The 25709-nt window shown below is 38.5% G+C and overlaps 1 protein-coding gene across 4 annotated transcripts in view; it reads right to left on the minus strand.

The window, feature by feature from the left end:
- P4HA1 (prolyl 4-hydroxylase subunit alpha 1) overlaps window positions 1-25709 on the minus strand; it is an 89650-nt gene that overhangs the window by 41630 nt on the left and 22311 nt on the right. For all 4 annotated transcript variants that reach the window (NM_001142596.2, NM_000917.4, NM_001017962.3 and 1 more), the window contains 5 exons: window positions 24885-24981; window positions 23183-23334; window positions 20000-20137; window positions 4505-4744; window positions 2207-2403 (listed from right to left, as the gene is read on the minus strand). In NM_001142596.2, the coding sequence (NP_001136068.1) occupies window positions 2207-2403; window positions 4505-4744; window positions 20000-20137; window positions 23183-23334; window positions 24885-24981 (824 nt within the window). The remainder of the gene's footprint in view (window positions 1-2206; window positions 2404-4504; window positions 4745-19999; window positions 20138-23182; window positions 23335-24884; window positions 24982-25709) is intronic.

Below are 25709 nucleotides of genomic sequence, written 5' to 3' on the forward strand. Positions count from 1 at the left end.
ATGAGGGAACAGGTGCAGTGGCTCACGCCTGTAATCCCAGCACTTTGGGAGGCCGAGGCAGGCGGATCACGAGGTCAGGAGATCAAGACCATCCTGGCTAACAAGGTGAAACCCCATCTCTACTAAAAATACAAAAAATTAGCTGGGCGTGGTGGCAGGCGCCCGTAGTCCCAGCTACTCAGGAGGCTGAGGCAGGAGAATGGCGTGAACCCAGGGGCCGAAATGGCGCCACTGCACTCTAGCCTGAGCAACAGAGCGAGACTCCGTCTCAGAGAAAAAAAAAAGAAAATAATGAGTCTAACAGTGTCACCATCTTTGTATTTACTCATTAGCTCAAGCATGTCCTCCTAGGACTCCATGAACCTATCTATTGAAAGTGTCACCATACGTATTGTATACTTTGCTGTTAGTGGTTAAGCTGTCAACAGTCATCAATATCGAAATGCAAAGCCCAGCTTGAGTTTACCAGTAGTAAAGAAAATGTTAAACACTTTTCAAATGTTTACACCTAAAAGTACTTACTCCAAAAATTCACTAACTCCTTCTATGCAAGCCTGTGTTCAACTGAAAACTAATACCACATGAAATTCCTTTTCAAAAGGTTCCATAATCAATTAATATTGAGAAAGAATGTATATCATATCACAATGCACATTATCATAAAAAGGTTCTGAGAAGTTTTGAGGCTAAACAAAAACCTATGTTCAACTTTGTTTAACAAATGTTCCCCAGACTTTGTTCTTTTTGCTTTTGGCCTAGTATCTATTAACATCTATAGAACTGGAATTCTGAGTTATAAATACATATACAATAAACAAAGTAATATTTATAGATATATTTTAAAGAAATATTAAAGACAAAATCTGTTGAAAACTTTCTGCATTTTCAGTATTAAACAGACTAAAGCATTTCACTAAGCAATCTTGTGAAGATTAACTAGGAGCAAAACTACAAGGGATTATTGTATAGATGAATCTGTTGTATCTCATAAGATGCACAGAGTAGTGTTATTGTCTCTAATTAAGGCTGCTGAACAGATGAGTGTGGTGGCTGACGCCTGTAATCCCAGCACTTTAGGAGGCCGAGGCGGGAGGATCACCTGAGGTCAGGAGTTTGAGACCAGCCTGGCCAACATAAGGAAACCCCGTCTTTACTAAAAATACAAAAAAGTTAGCCGGGCATGGTGGCGAATGCCTGTAGTCCCAGCTACTTGGGAGGCTGAAGCACAAGAATTGCTTGAACCCAGGAGGCGGAGGTTGCAGTGAGCCGAGACTGCGCTACCGCATTCCAGCCTGGGTGATAGGGTGGGTTTCTGTCTCAAAAAAAAAAAAAAAAATACTGCTGAAATCTCTCTTGCATTAAATATAAAAAAAACTATCACTTCCTTTAAACTTATTTGATCCTTCACCCTGGAAGGATCAAATGAAAAAGGTAATATTGCCCCAAACATATGTAATAGTATATGATTCACAAGCTTTATTTTAAAGCTATTTTACTAATAATTGGAACATATTAAATGTGGCACCCACAGAGAGAGAATGGTATACTGTAATTTTTTTTTTAAAGTTTTTTAGGCTGGGCACAGCAGCTCACGCCTGTAATCCCACCACTTTGGGAGACCAAGGCAGGTGGATCACAAGGTCAGGAGTTTGAGACCAGCCTGGCCAACATGGTGAAACCCCATCTCTACTAAAAATACAAAAATTAGCCGGGTATGGTGGCGGGCACCTGTAATCCCAGCTACTCAGGAGGCTGAGGCAGGTGAATCGCTTGAACCCAAGAGGCGGAATTTGCAGTGAGCCGAGATCATGCCACTGCACTCTAGCCTGGGTGGCAGGGTGAGACTCCATCTCAAAAAAAAAAAAAAAAGTTTTTTAGAGACAGGGTCTTATTCTGTAGCCCAGGCTGGAGTGCAGTGGTGTAATCATAACTCACTGTGCCCCTGAACTCCTGGTTCAAGTGATCCTCCCACCTCAGACTCCTGAGTAGCTAAGACTACAAGTGTACACCAGCATGCCCAGCTAATTTTTAAATTTTTTTGTAATGGGGTCTATGTTGCCTAAGCTGACATACTGTAATATTTTATGCAGTCATTCTGATTTTTATCACATAGGCTTAAATATAAAATAACTGATTCTCTCCAGAACTGTGTACAAACACATACACACACACATTCACATACACACAATTGGCTTTTCCACTTTACCATTTTGATACCCTCCCCACGGCACAGCATTTCGTACTTCTGTCTCTCTGGCAGGTAATCCACAGCAACCCCTTTTTTCTTTGGTGTAGTTTTCTGATCAGATTGGTCATCTGAAGCAGACTTATTGACATCTTTTTCTTTAGCCATTATATACTCAAAATATTTTAAGTTACCATTAGCTCTCTGATGTTCAGGATCTATTAGAAGAGAAACAAAGCATGTCCATGGGTAAGTTCATGCTTGTTCAAGCATCAGAATATAGTAATATAAAAATAGGAGACATTATAATTTATCTTCCAAACCAGGTTGCTGTTGTGAGTGAAAGGAGGCACTAATAAAAATTATTATACCAAAATAATAGGTATAAGTTACTACTGCCCCCAAGTAAATCAGGACATATAGTCACCTATATAAAAACAGTTCTGGGCCAGGCCTGGTGGCTCACACCTGTAATCCCAGCATTTTGGGAGACTGAGGTGGGTGGATCACCTCAGGTCAGGAGTTCGAGACCAGCCTGACCAACATAGTGAAACCTCGTCTCTACTAAAAATACAAAATTAGCTGGGCGTGGTGGTGGGTGCTTGCAATCCCAGCTACTCAGGAGGCTGAGGCAGGAGAATCACTTGAACCCGGGAGGCGGGGGTTGCAGTGAGCCGAGATCATGCCATTGCACTCCAGCCTGGGCAAAAGGAGTGAAACCCTGTCTCAAAAAAGACAGTTCTGGAGACAGAAACAGCTATTTATTTAAAGGTGGCAACTGGTGCTTTTACTTTGAGAATTTACTAATCAGCTAAAGGAACTAAGTTCAATTTGATGTCAAATGAAGTTTAAAATCTTACTCATCCTACTTATTTTAAGAAATGAAAAAGATTTTTCCAAGACAGAAAAACAATCACATGAGGAAGACAGGGGATAAGCAATTCAAAAGCAACCTTTACCACAGATACATTATAAATGTAGCCTACTTCTAAGGGCTGAGTGAAGTTCAGTCCCAAATTTCTAAGTAAGAAGGAAAAGGGAAACTAAAGATATAATTTTCGAATAAGCTGGAATCCACTAACTGCCTCAGAATTGCTAGTCATAATTTTGAACTACCTTTTAGTAGAAGAAAAGATGACTACGCTACCCATCTGAGAGGAAAAAAAAAAAAAACTAAAGAACCACACACACATAAAAATAAAAAGGCAGAAGAATATATAGAGACTTCACTTGTGACAGTAACTAAGTGTTTAGGATACCTAGGCTTAGATTGTAAAATATTTCTTGTCCTTCAGAAACTGCTCACAATAAATGTTACGATATCCAATATTAACCTAATTTTGTAAAAGCAAAGGAAAAGTGTGTGCAGGGAAGAGGCGTATACACTAAAAGGAAACAAATGTGTAGGTGTCTTTGAGTGACTGGCTTATAGATGACTCTTCTGTATCTTTCTCTGTTTTAATAAATTTTCTATAATGAGTACAAAGTATATTTTAAGTCAAGAGGAAATACCACTGGAAAATACTGAAAGGAAAAAAGATTACTTGAACCAATATCTTGATTTATTATTACCCAACTAAGAAATAACCCAATTATCCAAAGTTCATTTTCAGCAGATCAATCCTTTTGAGCTGTTTGATTCTAACATGCACATATTTTCCTATTTTGTAAAAATAATTTTTAAAGTTTTAAAGCTTCGTTATATACCAAAGGCCACCTAAACTTATTATCATACAAATTCTGGACTCCATCTCCAGAGATTACAATTTAGCAGATCTAGGGTAGAGATCAAGAAATTTTCATTTCTAACAAGTATCCAAGTAATTCTGATGCACGTGGTGCTTGGGCCATACTTGAAGAAACACTACATCTCTGTTCAAAGTACTACTGATAAAATTCTCCTAAGGTGTATTTTTCCAACATTTGAATATGATAAATATATTTTCAGCCCATCTATTTTAAATCACTTTATTTTAAAATATGAAATGCAATAAAACATAACACCCTTCAAAGGAAACTGATTAAAATGGCAACATGGTAAACAAACATTTTTGACTTAGTTACGTTAGCTTCAATTTTGAAATTCCTGGAGAATATAGAGCAAAGAAACACAACCACTGTTATAGCACTATTAGGTGAGAAAAATCAGCCATCATTTACTTTGAGAATAAAGAAGAGAATAATGTATATTTAACAAGTAAAGCTCCTGACTTCTAAAAAGTAAGAAAATACCATATATAAATGAGGGAAAGACAGAAAAATAGAGAATATATATCCCTCAATATAACTATAACCTTAAATTAGGCCCAGATAACATACCTAGTTCAAGAAGCTTCTTTGTGAGCAAAAGTGCCTTATCCAGGTCTCCCTGCTGATATACCGCATAGCTCAAATAATCTAGAACAGAGACTTTATCTATGGTAGAAATCTCGCCTTCATCCAGTTGCCTTAGGGCTTGTTCCATCCACAGTTCCGTATGGTAATAATCTGCTTCTGTATAGGCCACTTTGCCCAACTCAAAGCAGTCCTCAGCCGTTAGAAAAGATTTGTGTTTCACTCCTATGAAAAGAAAATACAGAGAACTTTAGGAATCTTAACACTACTGTGTATTTATTTAGGACTACACAGCTTTCAAAATGCTGTCTCACTTCTATTTGAAGTTCACAATAATCCTCTGGATGAGCAAAAATTACCCTAATTTTATAAACAATGGAACAATCTATAATATAATGTAGATAAACAAGAATCACACAGCTGGTATTAGGGGACACAGAACCTAGAGAACCCAAGACTGAAATTATCAGCCATCATACCAAAATGAAACATCCATTAAGTTGAAATATACTATTTCCTAACAGTAGGAATTACCATATGAGATACATCTCTTTTTTTTTTTTTCTTTTGAGACAGAGTCTTGCTCTGTTGCCCAGGCTGGAATGCAATGGCACAATCTCAGCTCACCACAACCTCCGCCTCCCAGGTTCAAGTGATTCTCCTGTCTCAGCCTCCTGAGTAGCTGGGATTATAGGCATGTGCCACCATGCCCAGCTAATTTTGTATTTTTAGTAGAGATGGAGTTGATCAGGCTGGTCTCGAACTCCTGATCTCAGGTGATCCACCCGCCTTGGCCTCCCAAGGTGCTGGGATTACAGGCATAAGCCACCGCGCCCGGCCACCATATGAGATATATCTATCTCATCCCTAACCAACAATCTGGGCAAGAGATGAATGTACAGGAGGAGAGGTAAATACGTCAACTGGATTCTTTCTTTTAAACAGCATTAATATGTCATTTAAATACCATAAATTCACTCATTGAAAGATTACAGTAGTTCTTAGTATATTTACAGAGTAGAGCAACCATCACCACAATCTAATTTTAGAACATTTTCATCACTCCAAAAAGAAACCCTGTAACCATTAACAGTCACTACCCATTAACTTCCCCACCTTGCCCCAGCCCTAGACAACCACTAATCTACTTTCTGTCTCTACAAATTTGCCTATTCTGGACATAATGCTACTGTGAACATTTGTGTGTAAGTTTCTATGTGAACATGTTTTCATTTCTTGAGTATATACATATGAATGGAACTGACTGGTCCTATAGCAACTCTACGCTTAACGTTTTGAGGAACTGCCAAACTGTTTTCCAAAGTGGCTACATCATTTTACATTCCCACCAACAAGGTATGAAATTCCAATTTCTCCACATCCTTGCTAATGCTTGTTATTGTCCTTTTTTATTGTAGACATTCTGGTGAGTATGAAGAGGCATTTCATTGTGGTTTTGATTTGCATTTCCCTGGTGACTAGTTATGTTGGGCCTATTATCGTGTGCTTATTTCCATTTGTGTATCTTCTTTGGAAAAAATACCTTTTCAAAGCTTTTGCCCATTTAAAAAATTTGGTGGCTAGGCACGGTGGTTTCACACCTGTAATCCAGTGTTTGGGAGGCCAAGGAAGGAGAACTGCTTAAGGCCAGGAGTTTGAGACGAACCTGGACAACGTAATGAGACCCTCATATCTAACAAAAAAAAAATTTTTAGAAATTAGCCAGACATTGTGGTGCATACCTGTAGTCCTGGCTAGCTGAGAGGCTAAGGCAAGAAGAATGCTTAAGCCCAAGAGTTCAAGGTTACAGTGAGCTATGACTGCACCACTGCTTGCACTCTGTTAGAGTTCTTTATTGAGACAGAGTCTCACTCTGTCACCCAGGCTAGAGTGCAGTGACACGATCTCAGCTCACTGCAATCTCCATCTCCCAGGTTCAAGCGATTCTCCTGCCTCAGCCTCCCACGTAGCTGGGATTACAGGCGTGTGCTACCATGCTGGCTAATTTTTGTATTTTTAGTCAAGACGGGGTTTCACCATGTTGGCCAGGCTGGTCTTGAACTCCTGACCTCACGTGATCCACCCACTTCAGCCTCCCAAACTGCTGGGATTACAGGTGTGAGCCACTGCAGGTGCCTGGCTCGGCTACATGATTTTAAAATATTTTTCCCATTCTGTGTGTTGTCTTTTCACTCTCTTGATGGTGCACTTTTGAAACTGTGATGAAGTCCAACTTATTAATCTTTCAGCACTTGTGCTTTTGGTGTTATTATGTCAACTCGCTTCTGCAGTGAAACTTCTATTTTAAGAAAAGGAGGTATTTGATAGTTCACATGAGATAAAATATAAATAGAAAACACTTCAGAAAATACTTAGTCTCATTCATCACTGAAGAAATTAAAACCACCACAAATAAAAATATTTTAAAATAATGGCCTAGATTTATTGAGGTCTTACTATCTGCCAAGTATTTGTCACTTATTTAATCCTCAAAGCCATCTTATTACAGATGAGGAACTAAAATAGAGGTTAACTAATATGTCCAAGGTCACATGTTTAAAAGTAAGAAATGGAATCTGTTCCATACACCTCCAGAAGTTTGTGCTCCTGATGTTATAACATTAAATGGCAAAACCTAATAGTGGGAGGAAGCAGCAATGTAAACTGGTAACTTTGCTTTTAAGAAATTCAGCAATAAGAGAAAAGAAGAATTTAAACTCTATGACTTAATACTACTATTTTTCAGTTATTTCATTGAGATTTAGTACTAGGGGTTGGGGACCTTCCTGTATAAAAGATTTTTGTGGCTGAAACATATTATAGCTAAAAACTGTAATAAGCTAAAAGCGAGGAAATAAGGAATATATAGGCAGATATATCAATTTAATGGAATAGCATTTTTCATTAAGAAAGATAATTTCAATGCTATAGAGAAAATTATAATAAATTTAAAAATAGAAAATATGAACAAATAAGATATCCTAGGCCAGGCGTGGTGGCTCACGCCTGCAATCCCAGCACTTTGGGAGGCCGAGGCAGGCGGATCACCTGAGGTCGGAAATTCGAGACCAGCCTGGCCAACATGGTGAAACCCTGTCTCTACTAAAAATATAAAAATCAGCCAGGCATGGTGGCGGGTGCCTGTAATCCCAGCTACTCAGGAGGCTGAGGCAGGAGAATCACTTGAACCTGAGAGGCAGAGGTAGCAGTGAGCCAAGATCACGCCATTGCGGTCCAGCCTGGGCAACAACAATGAAACTCCATCAAAAAATAAATAAATTAATAAATAAAAATAAAAAATACCCCAACAAAGAGCAGGCATATTGGAATGGGAAAAACAAAAGACCTTCCAAAAATCATAAAGATAACCAACGACAGTTCAAAACTCATTAGGCTGGTTAAAATGTAGATTAAGGCCGAGTGCGTGGCTCACGCCTGTAATCCCAGCAGTTTGGGAGGCTGAGGCAGGCGGATCATGAGGTCAGGAGATTGAGACCATCCTGGCTAACACGGTGAAAGCCTGTCTCTACTAAAAATACAAAAACTTCGCCGGGCGTGGTGGCGGATGCCTGTAGTCCCAGCTACTCAGGAGGCTGTGGCAGGAGAATGGTGTGAACCCAGGAGACAGAGCTTGCAGTGAGCCAAGATCACGCCACTGCACTCCAGCCTGAGTGACAGAGCAAGACGCTGTCTCGAAAAAAAAAAAAAAAATAGATTAAACACAACTAAAAAGAAAATAATAAATCCAGCAGAGAGAGCTGAATAAATTATCATGGCATAAACTACCCAGAATGCAGTAGAGAGAGATAAAAACATGAAATGCTAGTTAAAACACAAAGACAAGGCCGGGCGCGGTGGCTCACGCCTGTAATCCCAGCACTTTGGGAGGCCGAAGCAGGCAGATCATGAGGTCAGGAGATCGCGATCATCCTGGCTAACATGGTGAAACCCCGTCTCTACTAAAAATACAAAAAATTAGCCGGGCGTGGTGGTGGGTGCTTGTAGTCCCAGCTACTTGGGAAGCTGAGGCAGGAGAATGGCATGAACCTGGGAGGTAGAGCTTACAGTAAGCCAAGATGGCGCTACTGCACTCCAGCCTGGGCGACGGAGCGAGACTCCATCTCTTAAAAAAAACAAAAACAAAAACAAAACACACACAAAGACAAAAAAACTAAAGTCTGTCTACTTGGAATTCTAGAAGAAGAGAACAGAAAGAATATAGATAAGATAGTATTTAAAGAGATAATGGTAGAAAAATTTCCAAAATTAAAATGCATGGAAGTTCAGATTCAGGAAACAAAGAATTCCAAGCCAAACAAAGCACATTTGAGGGCTTCTTAACAATGTGTTTCAAGGAGGAAAATTCCAAAAGGAAAGTCTGAGGTACAATAAAGAATGATGAAAAATGAAAATGGTATACATAAATGCCAGTCTAAATTAAAGAAAAGGGCTGGGCACAGTGGCTCACACCGGTAATTTGAGCACTTTGGGAGGCAGACGGACTACTTGAGCTCAGGAGATCGAGACCAGCCTGGGCAACATGGCGAAAGGCCGTCTTTACTAAAAATACAAAAAATTAGCCGGGCATGGTAGCACACGCCTGTAATTCCAACTACTGGGGAGGCTGAGGCACGAGAATCGCTTGAACCCGGGAAGCGAGGTTGCAGTGGGCCAAGATTGCACCACTGCACTCCAGTCTGGGTGACAGAGCAAGACTCCGTCCAGAAAAAAAAAAAAAAAAAAAAAAAAAAAAAGGTGAATAAAGACAACATTGATAGGGGTGAAACTAAGGGAAAAAAGAAAGGGGATGGTCATGGGACGCGCTCTAGCAGGGTGGCAATCTTTAGATGGTTATTAAGAAATGGGATGAAAAAAGTAGAAACTGATGGGTGTGAAGACAACAGTGACTCCATCTTGCATGCTAATCTACCATGTTCACTTTTGATTAACCTCAGTCCCACGAATGCCTGCTGATTTCTACTTTACTTGCTGTCCTTAGTGTAGGAACATGTACCCACTATAAATCCTGCCTTTAGAGCAAAGCAACCTTGATGTTATCACAAAAATTACAGGCTATGACACGCATAGCATTCTTGCCTGTTCTGGAGCTTGCCTTTGTCCCTACAGAGCATGTACATCCTTTCCCTATGACACTTAAGTCATGGGTCTGGGGACTAACGGTGCAGAGATCTACCTGTCTTGCTACTGCCCAAGACCATGCTTCCATCTCTAAGTTTCCCAATAAATCATCCTCTACTGACAATAAGTAAAAAAAACTGTAGAACCTCCACAAAATAGAGTAATAACACGTAGCTATAAAAAGAAATGAGGATTTCTATACATGAAGTAATGACTGGGGTATATCAATAAATTAAAGCACCAAAGTACATAACAGTATTTATAGTATGCTTTTTTTTTTTTTTTTTTTTGAGACGAAGTCTCACTCTGTTGCCCAGGCTAAAAATGCAGTGGTGCGATGGCTCACTGCAACCTCCGTGCCCCGCCGGGTTCAAGAAATTCTCGTGCCTCACCCTCCTGAGTAGCTGGGATTACAGGTGCCCACCACCACGCTCAGCTAATTTTTGTATTTTTAGTAGGGATGGTGTTTCACCATATTGGCCAGGCTGGTCTCAAACTCCTGACCTCAGGTGATCCACCCACCTTGGCCTCTCAGAGTGCTGGGATTACAGGTGTGAGCCACCACGCCCAGCCAGTACGCTATCTTTTGTGTTTATGTTGAGAGAATATAGGAGTAGATATATATTTGCTTGTATTTTAAAAAACTGGAAATAGTAAAACTAACAAAATGGTCACATAGAAAAAGGAAGGGAATAGGTTGAAAAGTATAAGAATGAAAGTGAGACTTCTATTAATGTACCTTATTAGTCTAGTTTGGACTGTCAAAGAATTTAAAAGTTTTACATAATTAAAAACAATAAATTGGCTGGGCATGGCGGCTAGAGCCTGTAATCCTGACACTTCGGGAGGCCAAGGCAGGAAGATCTCCTGAGCCAGGGAGTTCAAGACAACCCCGGGCAAAATAATGAGACAATATATTTAAAAAAAAAAAAAAAAAAAAAAAAAAAAAAAAAAAAAGGCTGGGCGCAGTGGCTCACGCCTGTAATCCCAGCACTTTGGGAGGCCAAGGCAGGTGGATCATGAGGTCAGGAGATCGAGACCAACCTGGCTAACATGGTGAAACCCCATCTCTACTAAAAATACAAAAAATTAGCCGGGCATGGTGGCGGGCGCCTATAGTGCCAGCTACTCAGGAGGCTGAGACAGGAGAATGGCGTGAACCCGGGAGGCAGAGCTTGCAGTGAGCTGAGATCACGCCACTGCACTCCAGCCTGGGCGACAGAGCAAGACTCCATCTGAAAAAAATAATAATAAAATAAAAATAAATAAAATAAAAAATAAAAAAAAATAGCCAGGTATGGTGGTACTTGCATGCCTGTAGGCCTAACTATTTGGGAGGCTGTGACAGGAGGATCCCTTGAGCCCAGGAGTTCAAGGCTGCACTGAGCTATGATCATGCCACTGCACTCCAGGCCGGGCAACAGAACAAGATATTGTTTCTAAAACAAACAAATGAAAACAATGAATCAAAAGAAAAAACGAGGACAATCCCTAAAAATCTGAGGAAATGAAATAAATGAACTCAACTGTATAACATGTTAAGGGCATAGCCACAAAGAGAAATGAATTACCTCAGATGTCTTTAAAACAAGATTTTGACTGATCATATCTAGAGTGATATATTTTAAGGATATAAAGTACAAAAAAACCTGTATTCAGTAGTCTTAATGTTATTAATAGTATGAATAAAATAGTATGAGTTAATAGTATGAATAAAAGAATAATCATGTTAATATCCTTAGGAACCAAATTTTCAGAAGAAAAGAGATATAAATATAAACCCTGTGGTTTTCAATTTGAACAATATGAACTTACATATTTCCTGTCTCTGTTTATGACAAACTATATAGCAATAATCACCCCTAGAACCTAGCTAGACTCTGCTGCTTAAATGTCATCCCTGTTCAAAGCAATCAAGCCTTGCCAGGCAAGGAGTGGAAAACCTGTAGTCCCAGCTACTCAGAAGGCTGAAGCAGGAAGATCACTTGAGCCCAGGAGTTCCAGGCTGTAGTGCACCATGATCGCATCTGTGAATAGCCACTGCACTCCAGCCTGAGCAACATGGCAAGAACCTATCTCTTAAGGGGGGAAAAAGAAGGGCCAAGGCTCATTGAAGAAATGCCTAGTTCCTACTCTGGAATAGAAACCTGGAAAAAAAACTGTGCCAGAAAGCAAGGAAGTTTCCTCTCTATCAAAGAATAATAACACAGTCAATTCAAAAAAACAAGCCTATCTAAAGATGCTCCCCACTGGCCTAAAATGGGATAATCTGAGATCAAAGTAATACTGAATAGGCTGAAATACAAAAAAAAAATAATAATATCCATATTCATGATATGTCATGAAAATTACAGATCACTACTAAAAATGGTTAGGACACCAACTCATTACTCTGAAAACTGATAAAGAAGACTAATTATAGACTTACCCTGCCTTTCCTATATATAGTTCAGGGTAACCAAATGGTTCATGAAGGATGTTCCTGTTTATAGAATTCCAGTTAATAAAAGTAAAAGGAATAATGGAATGAAAAAAATCATCATTTTGTAACCCCTAATGAAATAGTGGTTCTAGGCAATGATCATCAAAGGCTGCCAAAACCAGTAGATAAAACTTAAGGAGAACTTTATATGGAGGGATCAGGCTCTCATCACCTGAACCTCACTCATCAATCAGCATCATAAAAAGTGGGACAGGACATTAGGTGTTGGTTCACGCAGTTCAAAAGAAAGTTCATAGCGCCACCTATGGAGTTAATTTTAAAATTTAACTCGAATCTAATCAAGCCACAAGCTCTAACCAGTGTGTAGGAAACATAGGCATTAAAGGAACATGTTAACCACCAAAGTAGTCAACTCCAGAATGTGGAACATTCCACATAACATATGACTAGGTTTCCCCAGCTAACCAATGTCATAAAGAGAAAGAAAAAAAAGGAAAAGGGAATAAAAGGGACTTAACAGACATAATTTAAAAAAATACAACTGTAAAACAACAACTTTGAGATCACCAGAGAAATAATATTGACTGGGTATTAAATTATATTAAGGAAATACTGTCGATTTGTTAAGCAGGGAGATAGTAAGTGGTTATGTTACTTTTTTAAAAAGACCAGCTGGGCGCAGGTGACTTATACCTATAGTCCCAGCTACTTGGGAGGCTAAGGCAGGAGGAACACTTGAGCCCAAGAGTTCAAGGCTGCAGTGAGCTATAATGGTACCACTGCACTCTAGCCTGAGCAATAAAGTGAGACCCTGTCTCTAAAAAAAAATTAAAAATAAATTACAAAGACCTACTTGAGGCCAGGAATTCAAGACCAGACTGGGCAACACAGCAATAGCACATCTCTGCAAAAAATTTAAAAATCAGCCAGGTGTGGTGGCACGCACCTATAGTCCCAGCTGTTCAGGAGGCTAAGGCAGCAGGATGGCTTGAGTCCAAAAGTTCAAGGCTGCAGTGAGCTATGATCATGCCAATGCACTCCAGCCTGGCTGATAGAGTGAAATCTTGCCTCAAAAAAATAAATTTTAATAAAGACCTGATCAGTTAGATATGCATGTTGAATTATTTATGGATAAAATGACATGATGTCTAGGATTTGCTCTTAAAATACTCCAACAAAAATGACAGAAAGAAAGGGTGGAAGGAGTAGATAAACCAAGAATGACAAAATGTTTAAAACGTCTGGAGCTTGGTGATGGCATAGGTTCATTATGTTATTACCTTTATTTTTGTGTATGTGTGACATTTGATATTTTCCATAATAAAAGAAATTTTATAAATAATGGAAAAAGGAGAAAGTCATGTCCTACAGGGCTCTTTTTATGCTGTTACACAGAAAATCACATAGTTCCCTTTCTGACACTATAAAAAAAAAATGACAGGTATGTGAAAAAACAACAACAAGCCTACACAAGAAAATATGACTTCTCCAACAACATTTCTCTCAGAATATACAGTTCTGAGACTAAGTCAATATTATACTAGTATAATATTGTATTTGACCAGAAACTACTGGTCAAAGACAGACTAGCCTACATTTTCTCTGATAAAACACATAAAACTGTATATATTTATTAAGTGTCCGATAACATCACAAAGAAAACTGGTAGAGAAACAAACACAACAGTGGTTTCTTTAATAAATTTTGATTGAATACACTTCAAAGAGTCACTAAAATGCCCAGAACCGGACTTAGCTATAACCTATCCAATGGTGGTCACATATGTTTTTAAAAAGATGCTAACAGAAAAGGCATTTATGAGAAATAAATCAAAAGGAAGTAAAGTTATGGGCACGTTTTGCTAGTGATCAGACATTTGCAGACTACAGAAAAGCATGCCCTGGTCTGACAATGAGCTGTTGAATTCCAGTATCAAACAGAGTCCAAGCTTGGAGGTGTATGCACTGGAGGATCACATGACCCAATATAATCAAATATTCAAATCATACAATCATCTCCATTCACTTTTTTTTTCTGGCCCCATTAGTCACTTACAGGCAGTAACTGATTATCAGTATACTCCTAAAATGAAGATGAAGACCCACGTTTTGATGTTTTTCCCTTAAATAATTCTCTATCCCGCCTTCCACTCTAGGAAAGGATACTATCTTAGTGCATTTATGCTCCCATAACAAAATACCAAGGACTGGATAATTTATAAAAAAACAAATTTATTTTCTCACAGTTCTAGAGGCTGGGTAGTCCAAGATTCAAAGCACCAGCGGGTTCAATTGTCTAGTGAGGGCTGCTCTCCACTTCCAAGATGGCACCTTGTTGCTGCATCCTCCAGAGGGGAAGAATGCTATGTCCTCACATGGTGAAGGCTGAAGGGCAAGAGAGCTAGTGGCTGCATAAAGCCTCTTTCATAAGGGCCTTAAATCCCATTCCTGTAGGCCCCACCTCTTAATACCATCACACTGGCCATGAAGTTTCACCACCTAAATTTTGGATGGACATAGTCCAACAACAGCAGATGCTAAGAAACTAACTTCTTAATAGTTTAACATGAGTTAGTTCCAGAAACTAAAGATGCATATTAAATTTTGACAATGCTATTATTTTTTCGGTTACGAGAACTAGTAAACTGAGAAGATGAGCTCATAATGCAGCAATTATAAATGTTTCTCTTAGGGACATGCAAAACACATAAGATGACAGTATGCCATTAATCCACGCAGATAGCACCAATAATTTTTTTTACATGACTTGATATTCTGGCAACATTATTTGAACATGCATGGCAGAGATAGTAGAAGATTTTTAGCTATTCTGCTTTGGTAAAGTATTTCTGCTTGTCTTACTTACTGATCTATTAACAATATTAAAGGCAGACTGCCTGGGAATCTGATTTTAAAATAAATCAAAAGTAATGCAGCATTTGAAAAGGAAGGCTGTTTCCAAAGTAGAGAACATGAGAAGAAAAAGTAGGCAAGAAAACAAAGAAGAAAATGAAATAAGGAAAGTGGTATGGGCAGAAAAAGACTGTAAAAAGCTTCATATAAAAAGCAAACCGAGTTTGATGAGAAACAAGAATAAGTTGTAAATTCCTTTGGTTCAAAGGAAGAGGCATGGATGACTGACATGAACATACCAAATTGAATATAATAAACCAAATTGAAAGTAAACTAACACTAAAGAGTCTTTTAATTTATTGTCACAATAGAAACTATAATATCAGGCCAGGTACAGTGGCTCTTGCCTGTAACCCCACCACTTTGGGAGGCTGCGGGGTGCGGGGGGGTGGATTGCTTGAGCTCAGGAGTTCGAAACCAGCCTGGATAACATGGCAAAACCCTGTCTCTACAAAAAATACAAAAATTAGCTGCTTGTGGTGGCACATGCCTGTAGTCCTGGCTACTTGGGAGACTGAGGTAGGAGGATCACCTTAGCTTGGGAGGTTGAGGCTGTAGTGAGCTGTGATTGTGCCACTGCACTCCAGCCTGGGTTGATAGCAGAGTGAGATCCTGTCTCAAAAAAATAAAGAAAATAAAGAAAATAAACTATAATATCATAGGCACTATAGGAAAAACATTATTTAGAAATACATTTTTAGCTAGACATAGTGGCTCATGCCTTTAATTCCAGCAGTTCGGGAGGCTGAGGTGGACGGAACACTTGAGGTCAAGAGCTGAAAACCAGCCTGGCTGACACGGTGAAACCTCATCTCTACTAAAAATAACAAAATTAGCTGGACATGGTGGTGGGCACCTGTAATCCCAGCTACTTGGGAGGCTGAGGCAAGAGAATCGCTTGAACCCAGGAGGCAGAGGTTGCAGTGAGCCGAGCTGCGCCACTGCACTCCAGCCTGGGTAACAGAGTGAGACTCCATGTCAAAAAAGAAAAAGAAATCGATTTTTATGGTTCATCCGTTAAACTGAGAGAGACATCATCCGTTAAACTGAGAGAGACACGTAATCCAAAAATTCTTGCACTTCACAAGAACACTTAATGGATCAAAACTTAATTTGTAAGGGATAATTATGTTTAAAATGCACACACTTAGAAGTTAATGTCCCACCTCTGAGGCAGTGTGGTACACTGATAGCTGAGTGAGCTCCAGAGATGTCTGGAGAATCTACTGTTTGCTATAGTTACCTTATTAACTTACCAAGACAGTGATGCAAGTGACCAGAAGGGTGAACATTCAACTTCCACATGAAGCAAATTGAATTTTGTACATATGACATTTTCTATTACTGACCCCCACCCCCTAAAAAAAATCACAGCTTAAAAAAAAGCATGATATCTTTGGCAGATATGGATCTATTCAACAAATCAGGGTTGGGAACAAACAATCTGAAAACTGAAGGAAGTCCTTAAGAACTATAAGGACAACACTGATGTCAAAATGCATGTAACCTATCAGATTTTTCATTAAAATACCAACAAAGCATTTCAAAAGATAGGCCCAAAGAGGCAAAAGAAACAGATGAAACTAATCAAGGAGTGATGTGGCATCAATATAAATTCACTAAGCATTTCTCTGACTTTTTTGTTTGAAGAAAATTTAAAATACATGCATCCTTCCTCCCTCACCCCCACCATTTCACACCCAGATTGCTAAAATTTTTAAAGTCTGACAAAACCAAGAGCTGGCAAGGATATGAAGAAATGGGAACTCTCATACAATGCTGGTGACAGTATAAATACATGCTCTGGAAAGCAATCTGGCCACATCTGGTAAGTATGATGAAAAACCAAATACCCTATGATTTCTTATACCCTAAGAGAAAGCCTTGCACGTGAGTACATGGCCACAAAAAGAAATCAACAAAGATGTATCAAACTTCATTTGATAAAGCAAAAAATTGGACAAAATCTAAATGTACATCCATCCACAGAAGAATGAATAAATAATGTTATACAATACCACATTAGCAGTTAGATGAATCTGATCAACACAGATAAATTTACTGAAAATATTAGGTTAAAAAAAGGTTGTAGAAAGATACATAGAGTATGATGTACTATTGACATAAAATTTAAAAACACAATACAATGGAAAATATATATGATAAAGTATAAAAAGATGACAGGATACGCACCAAGTTCAGAATAGTCATTACCTCTAAACAAGGGAAGGTGCACAAGAAGCCTTCGAACACATTTGTGATATTTGACTATTAACAACAGAAAATAATCTGGGTTGGGGGAGCCTAAAAACTCTTATGCTAGTATTCATGCTATTATTTTTACCACTTATAGGGTATAATGTGATTAGGAAATTTCAGTTATTCTACTTATAAGGAATTTGCCTGAAAGAAAAGTCAATAAGAACTAGCCCAAAACTGTGATAAAAGAGGAAAAAAGTCAACAAGGAGATAAAAAGCACCTGAGAAAGAATGAATATTGCCCCTAAGACTAAACACAGTGAAATCAGGGTTAAATAATATTCAGGACCATTTTGATGGGAATATAATCATTTTTTAAACAAAACACATATAGTAATCTAAATAACATTTATTACCCACCACCACACATTTGGGAGGCTGAGGTGGGATGTTTTCTTTTTTGCTTTTTGTTTTTTGAGATAGGGGTCTCACTCTGTTGCCCAGGTTGGAGTGTAGTGGCGTGATCACAGCTCACTGCAGCCTTGAACTCCTGGGCTCAAGTGATCCTCCCGTGATATGGTTTGGCTCTGTGTTCACACCCAAATATCACCTTGAATTTTAATAATCCCCACCTATCAAGGGCGGGACAAGGTGGAGATAACTGCATCATGGGGGCAGTTCCCCCATGCTGTTCTTGTGACAGTGAGTTCTCATGAGATAGGATGGTTTTATAAGCACCTGGCATTTCCCCTGCTGGCCCTCATTCTCTTTCCTGCCACCCTGTGAAGAAGTGCCTTCTGCCATGATTGTGAGTTTCCTAAGACATCCGTAGCCATGCGGAACTGTGAGTCAATTAAACCTCTTTTTTAAAATAACTTACCCAGTCTTGGGTATTTCTTCATAGCAGTGTGAATACATCCCACCTCAGCCTCCCAAATAGCTAGGACTACAAGCAAGCACCACAACACCCAGCTAAGTTTTCATTTTTTTGTAGAGTCAGGGAATTGCTATGCTGCCCAGGCTGGTCTTGAACTCCTACCCTCAAGGGATCCTTTCCACCTTAGCCTCCCAAAGTGCTGGGATTACAGGCATGAGCCACCATGCCAGCCCTATTTTGTTAAATGGAATCTATCCAGTTGATGAAGCCAGAAATTCCTATCAAGTACATCATCAAATTCTACTATTCTACTCTAATAAGTAGCTTGATAATCTATCCACTACCACCTCTTACTTAAATATTTGCAACAGCCTCCTCCCTGGTTCTTCGTCCCTTGGCCCCAACCCAATCTCCATTCGGCAGCCAGAATGGTTTTCTAAAAGGAAAAATCATAAATTTCCCTTACAAACTTTTTAATAGCTCCGCACTGCACTCAGGACAGTTCAATCTCTTCCACATGGCTTACAAAGCTCTCCAAGAGATGGCTTCTGCTTACCTCTCTAGTCTCAGCTCTCACTACTCTCACAAAGCCAAACCCCCATATCCACCTGGTGCGTTCACCTCTTGAACTCTACATTAAGCCATACAAACTACATGTTAGTTATCTGAATATGATATGCTCTCTCCTTTTGACCTTTCTACATGTTCCCTCTGTCTGAAACACTTTTCCCACACCCACTCCTGTCTCCCTCTCCCCCATTTTTCTGGCTAATTCCTGGTCCATTAGATCTCAATTTTTTTAATGTGTATCTTCCAGGAATTCTTCCTTTACATCCCTTATGAGGTCCAGCAATAGGTTTCTTTTGATGTGCTCATATGGTATCCTGAATTTCTCCCATCCAAGCACTCATCTTACTATACTGTAAGAATGTTAAATACCCTAATGGCGAGGGTAGTGTATGTCTTGTTCATTATGTGTCCCCAGTACCTAACATAATAGCTGGCACATATTAAGTATTTAATATCTATGAAAACCTGAAACCAATTTTAAAAATAAGGTTATAATCTTATCAAAAGCGTTATAATGTATAATATTAGTAGAAACTGAAAATTTGCAAATTTGTACATTTTTGGAAGTTCAAATTAATGGAATTATATTCCAGCTTAACAGAAATTTTATTTACTATTATACCATGTTTAGTTTTTACCAACGGATACCTTCACCTCAAATAAAGGGAGATGAGCAAGAAAACATTTTGATTAACAACTCATCCCAGTGATTTTTTCTTACGGAGAAAATCAATTTCAATGTGAAGACACAGACAACATATTTTATTTCTGCAGCTGACAATAACAGGAGATAGTAGTGGTAATGAGTCACAAACTTTGAAAAAGTGAGGGACGGCAAAAGTAAATTATCATGAAAGCAACTGTAACTTAAAAAGAGGACTTTGCCAAAAATAGGTCAGAAAGTAGGATGTTCCATACTATGGAACACTTTAAACATATGTGGATACCCAAAACATCTTGGCTTTTAATTATTTAACATATAAACTTTGACTATCAATCCCTTATAGCTTTACATACAAAGCTTTCAAATAGTATTAGGTGTTCTGAATAAAAACATTTGGTGAAATGATAGTTTCTTTTCCTTACACACTAAAATTCCCTACTTAAGTTAGTCTCTATCAATACAAGCTTTCAGAGTAACAAGCTAGAAGCTAGAAGCATACCCGTAACTATTAAGCCCTAAGAGAAAGGGAAGGTGATTCTTTAGTCTTCGAAGGCTATGAAACAAACTACAATTTAAAATCTTAAAATGCAAGTCTTTTTTATACTAACATTGTGTTAATGGACTCAACAGAGAAGCTAGGTGATAGGTATTTTATAGAATGGAAGAATGATCTTACCTGGAAGATTACCCTTTGAGATGGTATCTGTATCCAAATTGTAGGTATCCTGGAGACGTAACAGAGCTTTGGCTGCCCCAACCTGATCTTCATCATTAGGAAAGTACTGTCTCTGAATGGTTAGGTTAGAGATAAAGCCTTGAAATAGATAAATCAAAGAAAAAAAAACTGTAGAACCTCATAAACTTCCCATAAAGAGACTTAATAAGGATTGTTCAAAATCTATTTTATTATTTTCTACCACACCATGAAAAGTTCTACATACTCAACAAGAAAAAATTAAATACACTGAATAAGACTTGGCATACTTCTAACTTGTTCAATCTTCCAAAAGCCTAGTGTTGCTTAAGGACTGTGACGCTGTTATATAAATTGTATCTGTATTAGCAGGTAAAGATCACCTAACATAATAGTTATGAGTTTTTAGTTATATAACACAGCAAGAAAACAAAGTGCATCCACTAAGTTTGAGAAATGAACACATTTATGGGTCTGAAATGACATTCATTGACAATCAATTATACTTCCAGATAACAGATGGTAAGTAAAATATGTGCTCTTAAAGTTGTTTTTTTCTTCCATGTATTACACATTATATAAATATGTAAATATATAAAGTTTGGTGGAATTCTTCAAGGAGAAGGAAGAGATATTAACTATATATTTAAGATCAACAGCAAAGCTAGTTTACTAAAATATATTTAAATCAGTTTAATTATCAAACATGACGTTGATCAACCAAAATTTACAATATATAAACCTAATCTTAGAGGATTTATATAAAGTATGCAAAAATCAAACAAACCAATTACTGATAACTATATAACCCCAAGAAGAATGAATGCTAAACACTCCTTAAGAAATAAAAAATTGGTTTAAAATTTTAATATCAGTATCATTACTTGTGAATAAAAGTTAGGTATGAGACTTCCCTCTCTTCTCATTAACTTATAATCAACTGTTTTGTTTTTTTTTTTTTGAGACAGTCTCACTCTGTCATCCAGGCTGGAGAGCAGTGGCAGTGGCATGATCTCAGCTTACTGCAACCTCCACCTCCCAGGTTCAAGCAATTATCTTGCCTCAGCCTCCCAGTAGCTGGGATTACAGGCATGTGCCACCACACCTGGCTAATTTTTGTATTTCTAGTAGAGACGGGGTTTCACCGTGTTGCCCAGGCTGGTCTCCAACTCCTGGTCTCAAACGATCCACCTGCCTTGGTCTCCCAAAGTGCTGGGATTACAGGCATGAGCAACTGTGTCCAGCCAGCTACGTATTTTGAACAGCAAGAGACCAGGCCTTTTTTTTTTTTTTTTTTTTTTTTTTTTTTTTTGAGATGGAGTCTCGCTCTGTCACCCAGGCTGGAATGCAGCAGTGCAATCTTGGCTCATGGCAACCTCCAACTCCCGGTTCAAGCAATTCTCCTGCCTCAGCCTCCCGACTAGCTGGGATTAAAGGTGCCCACCACCAGGCCCGGCTAACTTTTATATTTTTAGTAGAGACGGGTTTTCACCATGTTGACTAAGCTCCTCTCGAACTCCTGACCTCAAGTGATCTGCCAGCCTCAGCCTCCCAAACTACTAGGATTACAGGCGTGAAATGAAAATGTACAAATGAACAAATAACTAGAAGAGGGCTAGAGTTTATATCAAGCATATTTTTATGCTGTTTTGTCTCTTTTTAGAGACAGAGTCTTGCCATGTTGCCCAGGCTGAAGTGCAGTGGCTTTTTACCAGTATAATTCCATTATTAGATCAATCATGGGAGTTTTGACCTGCTCTGTTCCCAACAATATTTTTAGTTTTACGACCAACTCTCAGTTGCAATCTCTATATGGAATTTTACAAGCAAGTTTTATAAGTTTTATAGAAGGCTATAATATCTCTTATGCTACAAACAAAATTCTAAGAAAAATTAAAATATATATACTCTCTCATAGCATTATAGAATGACTACTACAGATTAAAACAACAAAGTGCCAAGGTTCACATTATAAAACAACTTAGTTCATTACTTGAGAATAAATATATCGATTTCCTTTAAAAAATGGTTCAGGGGCCAGGAACCATGGCTCACGCGTGTAATCCCTAGCGCTGTGGGAGGCTGAGGTGGAAGGATCACATGAGGCCAAGAATTTGAGATCAGCCTGGGCAACATAGCAAGACCTTGTTTCTAAGAAAGAAAAATTTTTAAATTGGCCTGGCGTGGTGGTCTATGCTTGTAGTGCTAGCTACTGAGGAGGCTGAGGTGGGAGGATTGCTTGAGCCCAGGAGTTCAAAGCTGCAGTGAGCCACCATTGTGCCACTGTACTCCAGCCTGGGCAACAGTTAGACAGTGAGACCCTGTCTCCAAAAAAAAAAAAAAAAGTTCCCAAGGTGTTATACAGTACAGAAAATAATCACAGGCATTTCCCTCTCACAGTAAAGAAGTATTCACAAGTACTTGCCATATTTTTCTTTTCAAGGCTTCCTGATCCCTGTGCATAATAAGTTTACTTCACTGCTTACAAACACTGGTAAGTACCCTTGGAGTATTTTATCTACACAACTAGCTCAGCTCTTTTCCGTCTCTCTCTTCTTCTTTTCTTGGCGGGGCAGGGCAGGGGCGGCGGGGGGCGAGGCATAATCCCTTTACCTCCTTAATAAAGTCCAGATTTAGTCTTCTACATCTGTTATTAAAGTATCTAAAACATTTCAATGCTCCAACTACAAATTGTATTGTATCACTTACTCATTTTTACTGTTTGCAGCCTCAGTTTGATTGTCCACATTGAGCAAACTAATTCTAAACTTCAAAATACTAGATAGAACACAGCTAATACTTCTCTTTATAGTAACACTCCCAACATTTTTTTAAATTGATTGCAGATAAAGACATAAATTTTTAAAGTTTGAAGGTAATCCTAAAATAAAAATGATTACCCTCAGAAATGAAGCTATATGCCAAATAATCTATTCACTTTTGCAGATTTCAAAACAAGTCAACAAAAAAAGAAATTACTTCTTTTTTAATCAAAGAATTCAGGATTTTGACTAAATTAACTCTATTCAAACCAAATGCACCCAGGCATAATCCAGTTACAACACTGAACTGAACTGGTTTCCTGGGAACTGAATTTATCATTAATTTTATTATTTCTACATATGGTGGCAATATTACCTTACTCAGGAATCTCTTCAGACTTACCATCTGACATATCCTTAAGGACCAGATTCTCCAACTCACTCCACTCAGTATTCAGACGTTTCATTAATTTGAATGCATTTACTGGATGCCCAACAAATCCTTCTGGATCTTTTGTCGCTGTACTAGTTAGCCGATCTAACTTCTCTGCCCATCTACAGATGTAAAACATAAAAACTGAATATTTATATTTCATAGGGAAAAACACAATTTAATGAAACGCTCAGAAAAAAAATGACTAGAAGTTTTTGAGTTCAACTATATCTGTAGTTTCTTTTTAAAGTAAAAGTATACGGTCTCGGTCTCTTTAAAAAGCGACATCCTCTTGGCAGAATCAATACAACTATAGGACTTTTTGTTTTAATTTTGTTTCTCCCAAATGGTTACAGTAAATGGAACCTCCCTGTCTTAGTAAAAGTTGTGAATGAATCCCTCCAGTAAAAGTCTAAAAATTTTAGACTTAGGTCCCAGGGCCAAATAACTGATTATTACAAACTACAAATTAGCCCAACCCAAATTCAATTACATGTTCATTTAAATCAACTTATACTAAATTTTTACATCCAGTTTCTAGAAACTGTATCTTAAAATGAAAAACTGAACACTTAGCTACTCATTAAATAAAAGACAGGAATTCTCAGGTCAGGATTAACTATGAACATGAGTCAATTAAAAATAAATTCATATTTGAGAAAAACTGTATCAATTAAATAACACTAACGCTACCATCACTATAATCTCTACAATGGAACCATGGGAGTAAAGGATAAGTAGAATTGGAAAATTGCTGCAGCAGGTGGCTTGACTAAGAGGTTAGAAGAGGATAGAAGATATTAGCAATACTTTTAAAATTTATCAGTCAGGCTGGGTGCGGTGGCTCACGCCTGTAATCCCAGCACTCTGGGAGGCTGAGGAGGGCAGATCACCTGAGGTCAGGAGTTCGAGACCAGCCTGGCCAACATGGCAAAACCCCGTCTCTACTAAAAATACAAAAATTACCCGGGCATGGTGGCGCACACCTGTAATCCCAGCTACTTGGGAGGCTGAGGCAAGAGAATCACTTGAACCTGGAAGGTGGAGGTTGCAGTGAGCCACGATCATGCCACTGCACTCCAGCCTGGGCAACAGAGCAAGACTCTGTCACAAAAAAAAAAAAAAAAATGTATCAGTCAGCTTCCTGTATCCATCCATATTCTTTTTTTTTTTTTTTTTTTGAGATAGAGTCTGGCTCTGTAGCCTAGGCTGGAGTGCAGTGGCACAATCTTGGCTCACTGCAGCCTCCACCTCCCGGGTTCAAGTGATTCTCCCACCTTAGCCTCCCAAGCAGCTGGGATTACAGGCACATGCTACCACACCCGACTAGTTTTGTGTTTTTAGTAGAGACAGGGTTTCACCACATTGGCCAGGCTGGTCTTGAACTCCTGGCCTCAAGTGATCCACCCTCCTCGGCCTCCCAAAGTGCTGGGATTACAGGCATGAGCCACCGCATCCGGCTGGTATCTATCCATATTCTTATCCCAACCCATATTCTTCCATGTGAAAGTTGGCCCAAGCCTAACTTGTTCTCTATACTCCTATTTTAGCCATTGCAACTGGCTTTGTAAGACTCAAAAATGGGTTTCATTTCTACTTAAAGAATATTTTAGCTTGAGAAAGAAAACATCCAGGTTGAGTCAGAGTCATAATAAGCAAACATTTTGCTTACTTTTTTATTTGTTCTAACTTGTCCTCTTCTGCCTTAATATAATCTTTCAGAGAAGTCACCAGATCTTTCTCAGTATGGATCAAATCAGTCATCTGACCTAGAAGGGGAAGAAGGTTATCAAATACTCATATCCTTCAACACAAGTATGTTAAGAATAAGAATGATTGAGACTGTTTCATTCTATGAGACAATTTAACTGGCATGAATCAGATATGCTGGAGACTATCTTTTCTTCCTTTTTACCAGATAAACCAAAATAAAGCCAAAAACTTTTCTAATCAACTGTTCCAGTTCTAATTTTTAAGCCACTTGATTTTGCAAGCTTTAGACTGTGCTAGCAAATTGTCTTTATATCTACAAATGTATTTTTAAATTGCAAATCAACACTACTTTCCAAAGATTAATGTTTCTTCACCTTTACCTTTACTTCTTTAGTTCCCCTTTACCTTACCTTTGTTTTTGAGACTAATTAGAATTAAATTTTTATTTAATTAATAAAAGCCACACTAAAAAAGTTTCAAATAATCTGTTATTTATAACAGGATGCGAGAACCCATCATTTTATATACTGGAATCAAGAGTCATAAGTATATAATACTTATGGGCCAGGCGTGGCAGCTCATGCCTGTCGTAATCCCAGCACTTTGGAGGCCCAGCCAGGAGAATCCCTTGAGGCCAGGAGTTGAAGACCAGCCTGGTCAACATGGTGAGACCCTGTCTCTATTCAAAATAATAATGATAAAATATTTTTTAAGTTATAAATACAAAAAAAAACTTGTGTTCACAGTAGATTAAGTGGAAAAAGCAGATTAGATATATATGCAG

This window comes from Homo sapiens, chromosome 10 (genome assembly GCF_000001405.40).
Source record: "Homo sapiens chromosome 10, GRCh38.p14 Primary Assembly".
Lineage (NCBI taxonomy): Eukaryota > Metazoa > Chordata > Mammalia > Primates > Hominidae > Homo > Homo sapiens.